A 13,655-nucleotide genomic window follows, 5' to 3' on the forward strand; every position below is an offset into this window, starting at 1 on the left:
TCTTTGCTCTGTTCTAAAAGCTATGTATCCCGTCTACATAATTTGATTCTATTGTAATTTCTCATGGTTTTAAAATTTTCCTTACCAGTACTTGTAAGAGTATTGAATAATTGTTTCTTTCAATCACAGGCAAGGATATTTAAAATTAACATGTGGAAATGTGTGTTGCAGTGTGTTGAAAAATCAGTACTTGAAGTCACATCTAGAATGCTTCCGATTTTTTCCATCATTAGATTTCAGATGCAGTGTCCAAAAAAATTGTTTTTAAAAAATGTTGCTACAAATTTCTTGCAATATATTTTGGGTTTTTCACTTTAAATGAAAAAATAGTTAAGTGTCAATTTTAGTGATTTTAGTAGACCATCCCATTAAAAATATGCTATTTTAATTGAAAAAAATTTTTGACAAAACACATTTACACCGAAAAATTCAAACAAAATAATTTCTTCTTTAACAATATTGATTGTTAAATGTTGATTACCAAGTTATTTGGTCTCCTTAATTTTAAGCATAATACTCTTTACTTTGAATAGTCTTAATCCCTAAAGCAAAGCAAAGTAAAAGAGAAAAAAAAGTAGAAGAATTTCCAGAAAATTGTAATTCCCTTAAACCATGAATTAGAACTTTTTACTCTTACTGTAGTTACTCTAGTTTTTTTAGTTAGACATGAGGGTACAATCAAACAGCTTCTTTTTTGTAACAGATTGTTTTCCTACTTCTTGAAAAACTGAGATCAAAACATTTTTCTATTCTGTTGCAAAATTAACTGTTGTTATTCTGTCAGACGAGTTATTCACTCTAAATGTCTTTTTAAACCTGTATATTTATTTTTTTATCCCTTTTTGCATATGCACATGGAAGTGATTCCATTTTAATATAACTTTTTTATTTTGAAAACCCATAGGTTGAAGATGATATAATCAGAGTAATAATAAGGATGCTCCAAGTATATTAAACATAAGAATTTGGGGTCTTTGTTACGGAAATAGATTTCCTTTTTCCTTTCTTTAGTCTTACTGTTTTAAGGATTTTTTTTAAAGTATGATTTTGATGCTTCCAAAGTGGTTGCTATTTTATTTCAGGTGGGTCATTTGATAGTTTGTTGATGTTTTCAAGGTCTCTAAACAAAGTCTGATGTGTTAACAGTCTTATTAACGATGTTAAAATAGAATTAACAGCTTGTGGATGCCTCCAGAGCACAATAGCCTGTCAGCCTCCCCTGCCCCCTTATAAATTGTGCCCCTGCTGTCATCCCTTTGTTTCAGGCCCAATCAGCAAACTAAACTTTTGTGAAGAGAGAAGGCAGTTCAAGTGTTTCTGCCGCAGCTGAAGGGAGGAGCTAATGTGGAATTTATTGGGAGACCAATCAGTGCTGGAGGGAAGAATGACCCCAAATTGGAAGAAGGACTTTGTTGACCCCCTTGGCTCCCTGACCTTTCCTTGCTATTTTGTCCCTTTAAAGAGGTTTACTTTGGTTGTCGTTTACTTTGTGATGCTTTTAGTAAAAGCCCCAGAAGTTTTAAAAGTTTTGGATTTAAGATCCCTCTCAGCACAGATTTAATTGTGCCGTGTGATTTTGAGTAACTTGAGTAGATGTTAACACTCAGAATTATTTTTTAAAAATCTGACACAAGCTATTAATAATTTTTTAAAGGAGTAGAATTTCATTGATTCTCTTGAGCCAAAATAGATTCTAAATCTCTTCTAGTATCTCTTTCCTGTAGTTACTTTCATAGAGAATCAGATTAGTTACTGATGTTAGACTATTGGTTCTATTTCGTTGAATTTATGCTTTAAAAAATAGATTTGTGTATTCCAAATCTTTAAAACTTTTTTTTTTTTTTTTTTTGGTCAGGCAGTAATTATAGTGAGTCAGAAACAAATATTTTTAGAGGAACCCTTTTTTTTTATTAGTATTACTAGTAACAAATTTGACAAATTGTCACATTTTAAAGTACAGATTTATGGGATAGCCTGACAAATGGATACCACTTTTCCTTTGCTACTGTCCAATTTAATAATTTATAAAGTGTGGCATATTTGTAAAATAGTTACCCATTCTCACTGAGCATTACACCAGTTTTGGTAAGGGATACTGAGACATTGTTAAGAATTAAGTATTTTTTAGATTGCTTGAGCACTTTCCTTGTTCCCTTATCAGCATTCTTCTCCCTTGTAATGTGGTTTGTTGCTTATATTTACTTTGCAACCGGCCACTGTTCAAGGACTTCAGACAGTGCTGAGGTCCGAGATGGTCACTGCTGGTCCAAAGAACAAACATCTCAGGCTAGATGCAGGACACTAAATATGTTCTTCAAGCCAAGGTTAAATAAAATTACTCAAATGTAGCCAAATACGGGGAATGAGATGCAGTTAATGAATTGTGGCTTTGAAATATGATCATTTGCCAAGGAATATGCTGTGATGAAAACGGAGCAGTGTAAACTCAGCACTTCTCTTAGCTCGTAGTGAGCTGCTCAGGTAAACCCCGAGGGGAATACTTTCTTCTACTGAATAAACCCTAAAGATAGGCATCCATTGATTGAACAGTGTCTGAAACTGGAGCAAACAGGGCGCCGTTTGATACTAGCCCCATGTGTGGGTATAAATAATGTTTTCCAGTTGGCATCCTTGAGTTGTGCTGCTTGAATAGGGCCACTTTACGTGGCTGAAGAAGAATGTCTCTGCAGTAGTTCTCCCTGAGCAGTAACTGCTTGGTACCTTTCACCCACAGCACCCATTGCTGCCCATCCCCATCCCATGTCTAGTGTGCCCTCACATTCCACTGCTGGTCAGCAGAACCATCTTATCAGAAAGTGTCACCAAGCCCTTTTTTGGTGTGCCCGCTGAATGAGCACTCCAGGCTGTGGAGTTCGGGACATGCCTTGGTTTGTGGGGACCATGCTGCCTGCCTGTCGAGACCAAGCATCGATACTGTGTGTCTACCTGATGAAAGTGTCCAGTATGTGTCTGCATGACTTGGGGACACTAAGAAAACCAAAGGGATTAGCAACAAAGAGAGCTTGTCACCTTTGTGCGGAAGCCAGCTGGCATCTCACAGGGACAACCTACAACCTGAGCTGCTGCGTCCTCACTAAATCTGGGCCCCTAGGGACCCCGTTTTACTCCTGCTCTCCTGGAGCTTATTACGGGCCTGGCTACCAAAGGGAAAGAGGGGAAAATAGACCAGGAGCCTTATGCTAGAACCATTTATTTTGTTTCACGTGATGCAGACAGAGATAAAACTGCAAATTTAATGAAACTTTAACAATCAGTACAATGTTTCTCCTTAAGAACTTTGTAAATAGCATTTATCTTTCAAGAGTTCTTTCTCTCTTTTTGTGATTATTTTATAAACTTAAAGGAAAAAGAGAAAAAGTCAGTGGTTCCAGCATTTGCTTTAGTCTGTGACTTAAATGGATTATAACTCTTGACCGCTGACATTTACCAAGATAAATCAGTGGTCATAGATGTGGAGCTTGATGTCTCTTCGGCTCTGGGACCAATCCCCTTGGACAAAAGTTTTCCTGTGTTCTTAGTATTCTGAACTGGCTACAGCAACTTTAAGGAAAATAAAGGTTACAAAAAAAGTTCTGACAATTTGTTTGCTTTTACATTTTCAAATTTGTGAAATGTAGAGATAATTTTGTTTTCAAATCTTTGTAATTCCCTGAAGCAAATACTTTCAAGCCAGTTGCAAAATGCTGCTTTAGAAATAATTCATATAAACATGCTTCTCTATTTAATCACAAGGGGAGATGTGGAGAATGGATGTTTTATTTTTTCAGTAGTTTTTGCTCTATAAAAATATTAAATTGCTATTATGATTACTAAAGATACCTTTGCGTAGTACTTTATAATTTCCATGTACTTTTATAAACACTATTACATATAATCTTTGAATGAGTTCTGCAGGAAGATATTATTGTCCTGGTTTTGTAGGTGAAGAAACAATAAATGCACACATTCATAACGTGCGACGTAGTGCCAGCTTTGTATTGCCAGAAAATCATTTTAAGAAATAGATTTGGTATGTAAAATGGCTAGAAAACACAACACAAATTTGGAACGAAGAAGCTGTTTTGATTCCACATGATCTCTATAAAATATGACCAAAAAAACCGGGAAAATAAAATCATCTGATCATGTGCAAGTCCTTTTTTAGTACACAATTAGGTGAATCTTGTTTTTATGATTGCTTAGTTTTCATGTTTATAAAATACCATAATATGCCCCATAATTATAGCATAATAATAAAATAGGAAAATAACATCTTCCTTTTAATTTTTAAGACAAATTATAATCACAATATTATAGCAGAAGAATGTTTTTCAATTAAAAAGTGGTTTGGTTAAAATATGATTTTTTTTCTTCTAAAAATCCCAAAATGGCCAAAATATATTTAAAAATATATTTGTTATATATATTTTTATTTAAAAATAATTTTTTCTCCCACTTGTTAAAGATTAAGTGGCATAAGTATTTGTTTTGGGGCAATTCACTGCCGACATTCAGAAACAGAACTGTATTATTGGGCACAGGAAAATCTGATTAGTGTTTCTAAGAATTAGTATAGCACAGCAAGACAGGGAAGCAGTCCAAAGTGCTAAAGGTTAAAAGCAATTTATAAAAACTAGGAAAAGACCTTACTTGCTTAAAAAAAAAATTTCTTAATAATTAAAATTGTCTAAGTGATATTCTTGAATATTTTTTGTAATAGTTTCATATTATTTTCATAAAAATACTTTGGTTGAGGCAGCAGCAGAGGAGGAAGAATTAATATAAAGAAAACAAATTTTCCTATTTTGCAAGATCCAAAATCTTATGAATATAGTTTTTAGTGAAAAAAATTATTAAACTTTTACACAGTAACCCTAAGAAAAGTCTCCACATATGGTCCCAAAGGTTAAAAAAAAAAACCCAAAACTCCTCTGGGGAAATAATCATTTCATGAAAAGCAGTCTATTTGGAATTTCACTGGAGACACTCTGAGAATCGAATCGAGCTTAATTTCTGTCTTTGTGATAATCAAATATACATTTTGCATTCTAGAAGTTTAGAGGAGGTATTATATGTCCATGGTTTTCTTTAAACAACTCTAACGTCAAAATGGTCAAACTGTTGGACTGATTCATGTTAGATAAAACAGATGGGATTCTCAGATCGTGCACCGTTCAGCCGTTTGATGGAATTCGCGCCACCCTGACCAGCGAGCCCAGATGGCGCTTAAATCTGTCACTCTTTAACGACCCTACTGTTTTTTAAAAATATTTTTATATTTGAGCTCATTCAGTTAATCTGAGAGATTAATCTTTTCCAAGATATGTCTGGGGAGGGCTTTACTGAGGGTTTCACTTGGAGGAGCTCAGGGAGAGTAAGAAGAATGATGAGGCCTCTTGGACACAGGACTACTTGCTAGAAGGAACCTGGGGAAGAAGGGCTGGTGGTCCTTGGGCTTTGGAATATTTTTGAGGCAACAAGGCCCAGAAGTGCACGTGAAGAGTGGTAGTGACGGGGGTTAAGGGAAGAGGGGATGGATGGGGAGGGCGTGGTGCAGGGAGGTGGAGGTGAACACTGACATCGCTGAGACAGTACAGCCCCTGCCAAGAAGCTTAGATCTCAGTAAGGGGCCAAGTGCTGACTGTGACCACACCTGAGTGGCTTTAGGCAGCCTGACCTTCACTGCATGGGGATGACTCGGTGGGTGTGCCCCAGGAGCAGAGCCCAAGATGGGCTCCAATGTGATAAGCCTCTGGGATGGCTCTGGAAAGAACCTGTTCTGCACCACAACTCTCACAAATCTCATGGGGTTTTTTTCCCTGTAGGTTTTTTCCCCCCTTTCTTAAATTGTTATTTCGAGCCAGTCAGCCTACTGAAATGCTTCAGTCATTTGGGGTGTAAGATGTTGGCCAGCTCCCGAATCTCTAACCTTGGATACATTTGCAGAGTGGCTTGGAATTGCTTTCTATTCCTGCTGGGGTAAGAAAGGGAAAAATGAATGATTTTTCATTATGCACACATGGTATTTTTTCCCGCATTTGAATCAGATGTAGCAGGTGTCAAAATATGGTACAGAATTTACAGTATTAATGTGAAAATTTCTACTGTCCCAAAAAGCCACCAGAGATGGACAAACCCACCTATGTTAACAAAAGTAAAAATGCCCTGCTGTCTTTAAAGATGTTCCTGGTGGTATTTGGGCTGCTCTGTGCTAGTTTTTCTGGGGATCACGTGATGCTGCCTATACTTGGGGGTCTTGTGGAAAGCAGTGGATGCCTCTCACCCTGCATAGAAGACGGGTCCAAATGTCTTGTGCCCACCTGAGTGTCTACACACTGAAGACACGTTAGAGGTCTGCTTTAGAGAGGTTTTCCTCCTAAATTAAGGATCTATGACTTTCACATAGACCCAAAAGTGAGCAGAGATGCAAGTTGTGTTGAGAGGTTCTTTTGGAAGATGTGGGGCTTTGGGGGTCTTGGGGACTGGGGGACTGTCAGAAGTCACTGCTCTAGTAGAATGTGGTGGGAACTTATAACAACAGATTCTCCACAGAAATGCCACACGTAACCATCCCTTGAGGATGGAGCCACGTATGCTGTAAACAGAGTGGAAGAACATCAAGCTCGTAACTTGTCATTTTCATCATAAATCTGCTGTAAGCTTGCAACAGCCACGGTTTCCCCCTCCCCACCCACATACACATAGGGACATTATGGAAAGGATTGCAGTATAGTCCTACTTAAAGAATCTTGCTTTTTTTTTTTTTTTTTTTTTTTAGAAAATAAACAATTGCTAGAAGAGTGGAGAGACCACTTGCATCTAACTCTGTGGCAGGTTTAGGATTCTGTGTAATCAGTAAGACAGAGAGGGAATGTGTCAACTGGCCTCAATTTCCTAGTAGTTTTGGGTGTTTACAGAGTACAATTGAACATTTTAAGGGAAGCAACTTGTGGTGCCTGCATTGAAAATCATTTTGATGAAGTTATGGAATACATTTGATATTATCTAAAAAACAAATCTCCTACTTTTTTGACTCAGATATTTCTAGTAGTCAAAATAAACATTCGCTCTTAAATTTTACTAGTCAACTCATTTCACATTCACCTGATTCCCTCTAAAAACAAAAATCTTTCTACTATTCCAATTGGCAAATGGTCTGTTTTGGAACAAAAGGATAGATGCATTTGAAGAATTCTCTGGTCACCTGAGAAATGAAGGTTTGCCCATCATTTTTTATTAATGCTTGCCAAGTAATTAGGTATGAAAAGATGAGGAGCAAAAATAAATCTTCATCTTCAATAGAACATTAGAGGCTGGGCATGGTGGCTCACACCTGTAATTCCAGCACTTTAGGAGGCCGAGGTGGGAGGATTGATTGAGGTCAGAAGTTCGAGAACAGCCTGGGCAACATGGTGAAACCCTGTCTCTACATAAAATACAACAAATAGCCATACATGGTGGCACATGCCTGTAGTCCCAGCTACGTGGGAGGCTGGGGTGGGAGGATCGTTTGAGCCCAGGAGGCAGAGGTTGCAGTGATCCAAGATCATGCCACTGCACTCCAGCCTGGGCGACAGAGTGAGCCCTTGTCTTAAAAAAAAAAAATCTTTAATAGAACACTGGCGGCCGGGCATGGTAGCTCACGCCTGTAATCCCAGCACTGGGAGGCCAAGGCAGGTGGATCACCTGAGGCCAGGAGTTCGAGACCAGCCTGACCAACATGGTGAAACCCCATCTCTATTAAAAATACGAAAATTAGCTGGGTGAGATGGCAGTTGCCTGTGAATCCCAGCTACTCGGGAGGCTGAGGCAGGAGAATCACTTGAACCTGGGAGGCGGAGGTTGCAGTGAGCTGAGATTATGCCACTGCACTCCAGCCTGGGAGACAGAGCGAAACTCCATCTCAAAAAAAAAAAAAAGAAAAAAAGAATATTGGCTATTTGAGCAAGATGAATGTATTTTGGTAGATAGAAGAAAAATGAGAACTATCGCTCATCACTGCTGATGTCTAAATCCCCTCCCTGGGCATGAGGATGGTACAATGACACAGCAACCCCAGCCTGCCGGGCTTCTGGGATGCCAAGCTGGGGGTGTCCTGGCCAGGTCCAAGGTGCTGGAAGCCAATCCAGAAAATAGGATGAAGGGATAAAATCACACTCCAAGGCCGTGATATGATTGAATCAAGGTGTTAATCTAGGTGAAGAGTGCAGAAGCCAGATTCACTAGGGGCTCCAGGGCAGGACAAGCTGGTTCAGCGGGGAGAAGGCAGGAGGCAGATGCCCAAGAAGTGTGGGCAGATCTAGGGGTGACTTTATAGGCCCTCAGCTTTTTTTTTTTTTTGAGATGGAGTTTTGCTCTGTCACCAGGCTGGAGTGCAGTGGCGCGATCTCGGCTCACTGCAACCTCTGCCTCCCAGGTTCAAGCGATTCTCCTGCCTCAGCTTCCCAAGTAGCTGGAACTACAGGCATGTGCCACCATGCCCAGCTAATTTTTTTGTATTTTTAGTATAGAAGGGATTTTACCACGTTGACCAGGATGCTCTCGAGCTCTCAACCTCATGATCTGCCCGCCTCAGCCTCCTAAAGTGCTGGGATTACAGGTGTGAGCTGCCGCGCCCGGCCAGGTCCTTAGCTTTGAATGGGGAGTGAGGCATTAGGGGCATGGAGACACGTGAAGAACATGTAGCTTGTCCTTTCTTCCTTCCAGAGCTTTCTCTAGCCATTTGCAAAAATTCCACAAGCACATTATGCAGTCATTTTTCTAGGAACTGGAGAGAGGGGAGAGGTGGATGGGAGGGGAGGGTGTCATAAGCCTTGAAAAAGTTAGATATTCCAAAGAACCTTAGCTTTTCCCAAATAGGAAATGGAGAGTTGGGTGGTAGTTTCAAATCATTATTTCATTTTCTTTACCTCTGAAAAGATTTCTTAGTTTACTGAGAGCCTACCTTCAATTGCATGGATGTTGTACATTTTCTTTTTCATTTCCCATGAAGATCCCTATTTTTAGCTTTTAAGAGCTGTTACTCACAACTGAGATACAAACAGTGTTCTGCACCCCACACAGCATATATCTCATGATTAGTGACAGGGTTCCTAGAACTGCAAGACAAGTTTGGGCTTACTCAATCTGTTAAGTTTCCTTATAGGCATATTTTTTCATTCTATTGTTTTAGCAAGGGGCCTATTAGAAATTTCCATGTGTATAAATGACACTTTAAAGAGCTGGGTGCAGGCTGGGCGCCATGGCTTACGCCTGTAATCCCAGCATTTTGGAAGGCCGAGGCAGGCAGATCATTTGAAGTCAGGTGTTCGAGACCAGCCTGGCCAACATAGTGAAACCCCGTCTCTATTAAAAAAAAAAAAATGAAAATTAGCCAGGCATGGTGGCATGCACCTGTAGTCCCAGCTACTCAAGAGGCTGAGGTATGAGAATTGCTTGAACCTGGGAGGCGGAGGTTGCAGTGAGCTAAGATCGTGCCACTGCACTCCAGCCTGGGTGACAGAGCAAAACTCCATCTTAAAAAAAAAAGAGCTAGGTGCAGTGGTGCATGCCTATAGTCCCAGCTACTTGGGAGACTGAGGTGGGAGGATCACTTGAGCCCAGGAGTTTGAGGCTATAGTGAGCTATGATTGCGTCTGTGAATAGCCACTGCGGTCCAGCCTGAGCAAAGTAGCGAGACCCTGTCTCTAAAAAAGTAAAAATTAAATTTAAGAAGTTCTTCACCATCCAAGTTATGTTACGTGGAATTTCCCGTGGCAGTTTCCTGAAACATAACTTGTTTATGTTTCCTGAAACAAAACTTACCTGCAGTTTCTAGACACGTGCTCTAAAAACAGGCATCTACTGGCCTGTTTTAGGATTTAGAAATCTCTGCTCTGCCCTTCTTTCAACTATCCAAATGAAAAGAATGTTTTAACATTTCATATTTGTGAAAGTTTCCTCAATTACTGACTTTTTTCAGTTTTACAATTTGTTTTTGGCCAAAACAACAGCAACAACAAAAATACGATTTAACTGCAAAATTGACCCCCTGATCTTAGCTACACCTTCCGTGGTCCTTTTCTACCATTCAGCTTGACCCTCCACCCATGGGAGGTCTCTGCTCATTGGGAATACTGGGCCATGAAACATCTCAATATTTTCCATGGTCTTTACTTTATGCTTGCTCCTCTTCTGTTCTTCATACAGCAAGCCAGAGAATCAGATCATGTCACTTCCCTGCATATCTTTCAAAACATCCCATTGAACTTAGAATACAATCCCTCCTCCTTACTGTGGCCACCAAAGCCCTGCATTGCTGGCTCCTGCTGACCTCTCCAGCAACATCTTATGCCACTCTCTCCCTTGTCCGCTGCCCTTATGACACACCGGTCTCCTTTCAGTGCCTGCGGTATACAGCGAGCTAGTTCCTGCCTCAGGGTTGTTGCACTAGCTGGTTCTGCTGCCAGATTCTTTCTGTAGCTGGCTCCTTGTCCTCTTGAGGCCCTAAAGCCTTCCCTACCATCCTATTTTAGGACTCTTATCCTCAACCCCCTGCCATGATTCTCTCTCACAGCATCCTGTTTCTTTCCTTCATGGCATTTATCACAGTCTGTCAATTTTTGTTTTTTGTTTTCTCGTATAATGTTTGTCTTCCCTACTGCAGGCCAAAGAGTTTGAGCTGAGCAGGGAGTTGCTACTGAAAGTGTTTGATCAGGGGAGGGTATGATTGCACTTTAAGGAGATTGATCTATAGCCATGGACAAAATAGATTTAAGTGCTTGGTGAAGGCAAGGGAGAGACTGAAACAGAAAAGCTAAGAATAGAAAACTACTGTAGGCTGGGCACGATGGCTCACACCTGTAACCCCAGCACTTTGGGAGGCCGAGGTGGGCAGATCACTTGAGGTCAGGAGTTTGAGACCGGCCTGGCCAAAATGGTGAAACCTCACCTCTACTAAAAATACAAAAATTAGCCAGGTGTGATGGTGCGTGCCTGTAATCCCAGCTACTCGGGAGACTGAGGCAGGAGAATCACTTGAACCTAAGAGGCAGAGGTTGCAGTGAGCCAAGATCACGCCACTGTACTCCAGCTTGGGTGACACAGCAAGACTCTTTCTCAAAAAAAAAAAAAAAATAATAAAAGCTACTGCAAAAGTCCTCCTAGTAGGTGACAGGGACTCAAACTGGTAGGTGAGAAGGGATGTGTGAGAGACTGCCCTTGTGCCTGGACTCACGTCCCTGACTTGTGCACCTCCCTCCCAAGCACACAGTCCCCTTCTCACATCCTCGCCCTCACTCCACCCTTCACCGTCTCCTTTTGGGTGTCACCTCTGAGGCAGGCACTACAGGCCTTCTGGGTGATTCTTGAGTGATGGGTATGTCTCACATCTTTTTGTTGATGATACAGTTCCTTTATACAGAGCTGTATTGTTATTAGCTGTCGTCCCTCTTGTTAGAGCCCTTCTCAAGGAAGAATAAATACACTGTAGGTGACTAGGTGACTCCTGGAATCTTTTCTTCGGGAATTTCTTTTTTTTTTTCTTTTTTTTTTTTTTGAGACAGAGTCCCACTCTGTTACCCAGGCTGGAGTGCCAGAGTGCAGTGTTGCAGTCATAGCTCACTGCGACCACAAACTCCTGGGCTCAAGTGATCCTCCCACTTCAGCCTCCAGAGTAGCTGAGACAACAGGCATGCACTACTGTGCCTAGCTGCCTATCAGTTTTTCTTTACTGGGTAAGTATAAATATCTAAACATCCACAAGACATGGAATTGAGAGTCTCTTTTCTCTGTCACCTAGTGTATTTCAGGTCTATAATAAATATTATACAGGGCTGGGTGTGGTGGCTCACACCGATAATTCCAGCACTTTGGGAGGCTTCAGCAAGTGGATCGCTTGAGCCCAAGAGTTTGAGACCAGCCTGGGCAACATGGTGAAACCCCATCTCTACCAAAAAAAAAAAAAAGTTAGCCAGGCGTGGTGGTGTGTGCCTATAGTCCCAGCTTCTTGGGAGGTGTGAGGATCACTTGAGCCCAGGAGGTTGAGGCTGTAGTGAGCTGTGATTGTACCACCACACTCCAGCCTGGGCAACAGAGCAAGACCCTGTCTCAAAAAATATATATTAAACAGCAACAATAACATTTTACCTCATTTTTCTCCACTGTTCATTTTGTTTGAAAATCTGTGTGGCAAAACTCTATGCCCTTAACCCTTAAAGTTGCCATTAGCCAGATGATGGCAGGGGAAGGGCGCATGGGATCTTCAGCAGTCCTTCATCCATGCGCCCAATGGGTATTGAGGAGCCACCATGTTCAGGGCACTGGGGAGATCCATCCATGAACAGAACCAAAATCTGCCCCCCTAGAGCTTACAATTCAGCAGGCTGATGGTAACAACAGAGATAAATAAGTTGGTCATGGAGAATTTTAGAAAGTGTCCAGTGTCATGGTGCAACAGAAAAGGTGCAACAGGGGCCAGGCATGGTAGCTTAGCCTGTAATCCCAGCACTTTGAGAGGCTGAGGTAGGCAGATCACCTGAGGTCAGGAGTTCAAGACCAGCCTGGCCAACATGGTGAAACCCTGTTTCTATTAAAAATACAAAAATTAGCCGGGCATGGTGGCGCACACCTGTAATCCCAGCTACTCAGAAGGCTGAGGCAGGAGAATCACTTGAACCCGGGAGGCAGAGGTTGCAGTAAGGTGAGATAGCACCACTGCACTCTAGCCTGGGCGACAGAGCGAGACTCCGTCTCAAAAAAAAAAAAAGAAATGGTGCGACAGGGGCAAAGGAAATGAGGGGAGGCAGGATGCTATTTTAAATAGGGGGTAAGGATAAGCCCCATTGAGAAGGTAATATCTGAGCAAAAGTTTGAAGGAGAGGAAGGACTTAGCCTTGAATACTTTTGAGGAAGAATGGTCTAGGTAGAGCAGCCCTGTGTGTCCGTGGTTAGCAGGGAGGGCTGTGGGCTGGTGTGAAGTGAGAGGGGTCCACAGCAATGGAGGTGAGACCAGAGGGGGAACCAGAGGCCAGATCGCTGGAAGGATGTTGGCTTTACTCCAGGTGGAATGAGGAGCCATTGCAGAGTTTTTAAACAGATCCCTCCAGAAGTTATGTTGAGAATACCATGTAGGAGACGAGGGTTGAAGTGGGGAGACCCGTCAGGAGATAGTTGCTGTGAGACAGGTGAGAGCTGCTGGTGTCTCAAACTGAGTGAGATGTACCTGGGATATGTTTCGAAGCAGAATCAATGAGATTTCCTGGTGGGTTGAGTGTTTCTCAGTTGGAAATAAAAGAGGAGTCAAGGATGACTGTCAAGGTTTTTGGTTTGTGTGACTGGAGGGAAAGAGTGGCTTTCAAAATGGGTTTGGCAATAAATGGAGCACGCTTTTGTTGGGGTAGGGGTGGAGGTCAAGAGTTCAGCTTTGGACATGTTGAATTTAAGATAGCTACTAGAATTCGTTTTTTTTTAGCTACTAGAATTCTTTTTTTTTTTTTTTTTTTTTTTTTTTGAGATGGAGTCTTGCTCTGTCACCCAGGCTGGAGTGCAATGGTGTGGTCTTGGCTCACCGCAACCTCCGCCTCGCAGGTTCAAGCGATTCTCCTGCCTTAGTCTCCTGAGTAGCTGGGATTACAGGCACGTGCCACCATGCCTGGCTAATTTTTGTATTTTTAATA

The 13,655-nt window shown here is 41.4% G+C and overlaps 1 protein-coding gene across 10 annotated transcripts in view, besides 2 other annotated features; it reads left to right on the plus strand.

Annotated features, from left to right (window-relative positions):
• CLYBL (citramalyl-CoA lyase) overlaps positions 1-13,655 on the plus strand; it is a 302,755-nt gene that overhangs the window by 53,991 nt on the left and 235,109 nt on the right. The gene's annotated exons all lie outside the window — the stretch shown is intronic.
• Positions 723-1,605: an enhancer, noted in NCBI's record as "OCT4-NANOG hESC enhancer chr13:100313657-100314539 (GRCh37/hg19 assembly coordinates)". NCBI's record gives its function as "activates a minimal SCP1, AML or CMV promoter by ChIP-STARR-seq in primed H9 embryonic stem cells {active_cell/tissue: H9 hESC(primed)}" and the evidence as "EXISTENCE:reporter gene assay evidence [ECO:0000049][PMID:30033119]".
• Positions 5,138-5,638: an enhancer, noted in NCBI's record as "H3K4me1 hESC enhancer chr13:100318072-100318572 (GRCh37/hg19 assembly coordinates)". NCBI's record gives its function as "activates a minimal SCP1, AML or CMV promoter by ChIP-STARR-seq in primed H9 embryonic stem cells {active_cell/tissue: H9 hESC(primed)}" and the evidence as "EXISTENCE:reporter gene assay evidence [ECO:0000049][PMID:30033119]".

This window comes from Homo sapiens, chromosome 13 (assembly GCF_000001405.40).
Source record: "Homo sapiens chromosome 13, GRCh38.p14 Primary Assembly".
Classification (NCBI taxonomy): Eukaryota; Metazoa; Chordata; class Mammalia; order Primates; family Hominidae; genus Homo; species Homo sapiens.